We start from the raw sequence: 6,843 nt of genomic DNA, 5'->3' as shown, positions 1-6,843 counted from the left end.
GCACAATCTCGACTCACTGCAACCTCCGCCTCCAAGGTTCAAGTGATTTTCCTGCCTCAGCCTCCCTAGTAGCTGGAATTACAGATGCCCACCACCATGCCAGGCTAATTTTTTGTATTTTTAGCAGAGACAAGGTTTCACCATGTGGGCTAGGCTGGTCTTGTACTCCTGACCTCAGGTGATCCACCCGCCTTGGCCTCCCAAAGTGCAGGGATTACAGGCGTGAGCCACCACGCCCGGCTGTTGTTACTTTTAAGCTAACCTTCCCGTCTTCTCCATCAGTGGTCAGTGTCCTGTGCCTGCAGCCCTGCCCCTCACACCTTTGCCTCTGCTGTGCCTCTCCAGGAGTGTTGTTCACCTGCCTCTGTAGAAAGTCTTCCTCATCTCAGGCTCTGATTCAAATGTCACTTCTTCTATGAATTTATCTCCCCAACCCTGAGATGAAGCAATATCTCTGGGTGTTAAGGAAGAAGATTTCTCTGGCCTTCTCCTACAGCTGATATTACAGGGACATTCTATATTTCTCCATGCAGGAGGTGAAGTGTTCAGAGGCTGGACGATTTTCTACTTATCTTTGTATCTTCAGAATCCCACCCCAGGCTCAGCATGCAGTAGTTGTTGGAAAAGTCTCTGTGGATATGCAAGCTCCTGGGAAGGTTTGACTGCTGTAATTTCTGCAGCATATTCACTGTCCACCCAAGGGACACATCCATGGGCCTGCTCTCAGTGACTGTGACTTCTTCCACATCTAGGAACCTCTCTTCAACTCCTTCCTGTGCCCAGGTGCTGGGACTCTGACCCTGCTTGCAATCTTGTTGGGGTTCTCCAGCTGCCCATGGTTGAAATGCCCCTTTTGAACTCCAGGCCTCTGGCTATATGACTTTTTCATAGCAATTTGTTGCTTTTCACTCTGGCCACTAAAGCTGACCCATGGGCTGGGAGGGGGAATGGTGCCTGTTCCTGATAAGGGTGAGGCCAGGCCACTCAATGCCAAGTAAAAAAGTAAACAAGAATATTCTATTGCAGATTCACATTATTCACTTAAGTAAATCAAAGCTGATTTAAATGGATGTTTTCAAGAACTTGGATGTTTTGTGGCCACTGGCAGCCACTGCAGACTTCATTTGGATGGCCCATTCTTCACAAAGTCCAGCAATGACCACTTACCAGAGATTGAAATCCATCAATTTTAAGTCTATCAAGGAAATCATTTTGGGGCCAACATTCAGGCAATGACTACGAGGTATTAGATATCATATACCTGAAATCGCCTTTCAATCCTCAAAACAACCCTTTGAGAGAAATACAGTTATAGGTATAGGTGCAGGAGTAGGCAGAGGCGTAGACAGGCTTAGGCATAAACACAGGCACAGGCACGCCTATAGATACAGGTATTGGTGTAGGTGTAAGTATAGGTACAGATGTGGGAGTACACATAGGCATACACAAGCTTAGGCAGAGACACAGGCATGGGCATGCCTGTAGGTACAGGTTTAGGTATAGGTGCATGTGTAGATATAGGTGTAGGTGTAGGTATAGGTACAAAAGTAGGTATAGGATTGGTATAAGTATAGGTGTAGGTATACGTATAAGCATAGGTGTAGGTATAGGTAAAAGTATAAAAATAAGTAGGATAAGTGTAGGTATAGATATTGGTGTACATTTAAGTACACGTGTAGGTATAAATATATGTATACTTGGAGGTACAGACATAGTAGGTATACATATAAGTGTCAGTGTTGGTATAGATATAGGTACAGGAATAGGTAGAAGTGTCATGGTAGGTGTAGGTATAGGTCTAGATGTAGGTATAAGTATAGGTCTAGGAGTAGGTACAGGATCCATATAGGTATAGCATAGGTGTAGGTATAGGTGTTGATGTAAGTATAGACATAGGGAAAGGTGTAGGAGTACACATAGGTATAGATAGGCTTAGGCAGAGACACACGCATAGGCATATGTACAGGTGTAGGCGTATGTATACATATTGGTGCAGGTATAGGTATAGAAATGGGTTTACGTATAGTGTAGGTATAGATAGAGGTATATATATAGGTGTAAGTATAGGTATAGACATAGGATAGTTGGAGGTAGATGTATAGGTGTAGGTATAGATATAGACATAAACATAGTTGGAGGTATATGTATAGGTGTAGGTATAGGTATAGACAAAAGTGTCGTTGGAGGTATAGGTGTGGGTATAGGTATAGGTATAGGTGTAGGTATAGGTATAGACAAAAGTGTCGTTGGAGGTATAGGTGTGGGTATAGGTATAGGTATAGGTGTAGGAGTATGTGTAGATATCATTATAAGTGTAGGTATACGTGTAGATACAGGTGTATTTGGGATAAGTGTAGGTGTAAATATAAATATAGTTATAGATACAGGTGTAGTATAGGTAGAGATATAGGTATAGGTGTAGATATAAGAATAGGTGTAGGTATACAATTACATATAGGATAGGGATAGGTATGGGTGTAGGTACCAGTAGGAAGCCCATTTGAAATGTTCTCAGAGTTAAAATACCTGCCTGGATTTACAACTCTACTAAGTAGAGCATCCACAAGAATGAACTCTACTAGAGGCATTATCTCCAATTCAGGAAACCCACTTTGATGAGGAACCCAGGATGAATGAGAAACTGCCATTAATTTGAGATGGAAGTAAGTGTATTTTCCCATGCAAGTGATCCAAGTTCACAGCAAAAACATAATTTCCCTCATTAGCATAAAAAGCACACTTCAATAGTGGTTACAAATTAGTTCTTATAAGTAACCAATATACTCTGAGCAGCTGAAAATTAACTACCAGACTCTATTTTAGTTGCTACTTCCTGGGATATTTTCTAATATCACCTGACATTGTTCCTTGACGTTTGTTTTTGTTGTTTTCTTTTTATTTGTTGGCAATTTATGAAAACTGTGGGTTAAATACTCTTAGTCAAGTAGTTTAATATAATAGAGGTTGAAATAGTCTAAAGGTGGAGTCCTGCATTTTAGTTGGCTTCTGGAAGAAAATGCTAGAGAAGTTATTTCTTTTTGACTTGTAACTATTGGTATAAATACTAGTGTTGGACAAGCTCCTCATGAATTTTATAGTGAAAATTAATTGGCTAAAAGATCTTATATGATTTTGAAGTCAACCTTGTCTGAAGACTTGTCAATAACCTTGTGTTCAGAATGAAAAATTACTGCTGTTCTGGGCTATATGGGTGCCCCAAACTAAAAATTTCACAGAATATCCAGCTTAAAACTCCTAATTAAACAACGAATGTTGTTTCTAATAGAAATATTTAGAATTTTGACGATTTATAATTTAACATTTCTAAATGACTCTTAATAATGTTAATTTTTAGTATCTCAAAGTGTTCTTTGAAGCCATGTAGGGCATCCTTCCTGAGGAACTGGAAGATTAGGTGTATGTGGTCTGCATTTAATTCTAAGGCACATGTCGACATTTTTACATTTCTGAAGCTGGTGAGCCCAAGTTATACTCAATCCATACATTTCATATTTATCATTTTTCCTGAAGAACTGTTATTAAAGTGAGTATTATGGTCAAATGATCTATGGATTCCTTTTCTTAGTGAGTACAATTTAGGAGATCTAGATTTCATTTAAACTGCACATGTACCCTAGAACTAAAAGTATAATAAAAGTATATATATTAAAAAAAAAAGATTGATTTACTTTTTCTTTTTTTTGGAGACAGAGTCTTGCTCTGTCTGCCAGGCTGGAGTGCAGTGGTGTAATCTTGGCTCGCTGCAGCTTCCGCTTCCTGGGTTCAAGAGATTCTCCTGCCTCAGCCTCCTGAGTAGCTGGGACTACAGGTGCACACCACCACGCCTGACTATTTTTTTATTTTTTTATTTTTAGTAGAGATAGGGTTTCACCATGGTGGCAAGGCTGATCTTGACCTCCTGACCTCAAGTGATCCACCCACCTTGACCTCCCAAAGTGCTGGAATTACAGGCATAAGCCCATGTGCCCAGCCTGATTTACATTTGACTGCCGCCAAATGAGTAGATATTATGAGAAAGCTATGTAGTTTCTGTGTAGAGAAATGACAGAAGATGGGGTGAAATTTCAGACAACACTAGTATTTTTTGAAACTTGAGTGTTCATAGCTGTTTGTTTTGGTTCTTTAATTTAAAATTTGTTGAAGCTAATATTATCATAATACCATTTTTGTTTTTGTTTTTTCTTCTCCAACTTTCCACAGGTCACACCAAACCCAGTGTAGTGGTTGACCTACAGTAGCTGCTCGGTGACTGTTTGTTGATGAGTTAATGATAGACTTGTAAATCAGAGATCCCCAGATGGTTGCTTATGCCTAGCAACAGTGCCAAATCCTTAGGCCAGATGAGATAATGTATTTGAAAGCATTGTAAACTCAAAAGCGCTCTAATAATACAAGTTATTACAAATAGTGGAAGCAAACAGAACAAAGCCAGACAAAACAGTAAGAGAATTGGGGGCTCGGAGACTCCCAAGCGTTCTGAGGGTTATAGGCCCAGTTGCAAATCAGTATAAGCTGAGGAAATATATGCCAACTTAATAATGGGATGGGGATATTACAGAGTGGCAGAAGTTAGTAAGAATCATCCCCCGATAAAGAGGAGACTCTTGGAATAGACATCCATTATCTTAACCCAGGAAGGCCTCAGGAGTGTCCTGGGGCTGGAATTTTAACAGGAATCCTCAAACAAAATTGGAATCCTCTGGGATCCTAGAATTATTCTATTTGGAATGTCTTAGTATTGGCAATAACACAATCTAAAAGATTTCCCTTAGGGTGAAACTGTCCCCTTTGTGAAATGTCTCAGTTACTTAAGCAGTCATTCCCATCGTGTCCAGCTGCATGAAAACAAATGCATGTTGCAGTTTCTTTGTGAATTGCAGCTTCTTGATCAGCCAATAGCTTTTCCTCAAGTAAGTCTCCAGGAAGTCTCCCATCCACCAATGCTTTCATATTTCCCAGGTCTCTTATCTTATATCTCTAGGTAGGGGTGTCCAATCTTTTGGCTTTCCTGGGCCACATTGGAAGAAGAATAATTGTCTTGAGCCACATATAAAATACACTAACACTAATGATAGCTGATGAGTTGAAAAAAAATCCCCCTCCAAATCTCATAATGTTGAAAGAAGGTTAACAAATTTGTGTTGAGCAGCATTCAAAGTTGTTCGGGACCGCGTATGGCCCACGGGCTGCACGTTGGACAAGCTTGCTCTAGAGTGTGATCGTAGTGGCTTCGTGAACCCTGACTTGACTCTCATAGAACAGATCCTTAATATTTTTCTTGCATATTTGTTTCCTTTTGTTTCATTGCTAATCTGATAACAACAAGATGGATTGCTCAAGACCTTGAATACACTTCCAGAGAAAATTCAGACTTTGAGCTGGAGTTTATCCCTGATCTGAAGATTGGCTTCAAGAGTTGTTCATCAAGAGGAGTGAATCACAGGCAAGGAGTTTACCACATCAGACAAGATGTGATTTCTATTAAATATACTCTTGGTTGAATCTTGGCAGGAAAGCTTTTGGATGGTCGATACATTTGTAACTTAATTTAACACAGTGATTATTCTTACGTATTTATGTTAAAGCTTCCCTGTGTACCTCTAAATTAATGCATGTTTTATGTTTTTCTGAATACTTTGATTTAAATGAGAAAATCCAGGCACCCAACTCTCACTAATAGACACAAAAAGATATGGCTTCCACTTTTTTGTCTGTCTTTTCTATTCACAAGACAAGGAAAATACTGTTTCCTTTTATGTAATTGTTGAACCTGTCACCAACTATTGTTGATTCTCCCATTCTGATTTCTTCCAGATTGTCTCTCTCTGCTGCTACTACAATAAACTGAGGTCAGGTGCTCATTACCTCCTGTTTGGTTGTCCCTGGAATAAGGACAGAATTGCCCCACAGGGAAGAGGAGGATTTAATCATAGTATAAACTAATGACAAAGGCCTGACCTACTCCCTTTCTCTATCTCTCCCCCCATTCTTCCCTCCCTCTCTTCATCCTTCCCCTCCTTCTTTCCTTCAGTAGAAATATATTGAGGAGATACCATTATGTTCAAGTCATTGGGAGTTCACAGAAATAAACAATAAAATCCTCATTCTCAAATGAGGTGATTATAAAACACTGTCACAAATGTTATGGCAGAGAAAGGGGAAGCAGTCACACGGAATGGGTGCCGGGGCCTTTACAGAGTCTTCCTGGAGAAGGGTTGGCCATTTAGGCTGAGTGTCAGAAGATGAGCAGCTGGTGAACAATGAAGGAGGAGGAATCTGCTCCAAGTCCTGGGAGTGACAAAAACACAGAACATTTCAGAAGAGATATGAAACATTTGGGGAAACATGTGCCTTTCAGCATGACTTGAGAATTGAATTCCAGAGGAGGAGATAGAATAGGGGGCTGCAGAGGGACGCAGGCGTGCGATCTTGGTGGACCTTCTATGCCATGCTGATGAGCTTAGATTTCTTCCTAAGTAAAATGACAAACACTTGGGAGACTTATAACAAGGAGAGATATGGATAGATTATTCCTTGCTTGTTTATTTATCCCTCTAACTTGTAGGTTTCTAAAGAGCAAGGACCTCGTTTTGCTTCTAGAATCAAGGAGAATGCTGGGTATGTAGTAGGTATATGAGAAATAGATGCTGAACAAATGAATGGACATGCATTTTTTAAGGCCTCAAGTGGAAAGAACCACTATAGTCACATCCTTTTGTTGATTCTGGAAAACAATGCTAGTAATCGTATTTGGAGAGCCACAGTGAAACCTTAATTATGTAAGAATGAACCTAAACTTGGTAACTTACGCAGATGTACACT

General features: G+C 40.0%; 1 long non-coding RNA gene across 1 annotated transcript; it reads left to right on the top strand.

The window, feature by feature from the left end:
- The first annotated feature begins 513 nt into the window (after nt 1-513).
- LOC105374630 (uncharacterized) lies at nt 514-5,458 on the top strand. Its single transcript, XR_001742581.1, has 3 exons — nt 514-783; nt 1,027-1,243; nt 5,348-5,458. It is a non-coding gene; the product is annotated as an uncharacterized LOC105374630 (long non-coding RNA).
- The last annotated feature ends 1,385 nt before the right edge of the window (nt 5,459-6,843 follow it).

Source organism: Homo sapiens, chromosome 5, assembly GCF_000001405.40.
Source record: "Homo sapiens chromosome 5, GRCh38.p14 Primary Assembly".
Classification (NCBI taxonomy): Eukaryota; Metazoa; Chordata; class Mammalia; order Primates; family Hominidae; genus Homo; species Homo sapiens.
The sequence above is the reverse complement of the archived record's forward strand: the minus strand, read 5'-3'. Positions and strand labels throughout refer to the sequence as shown.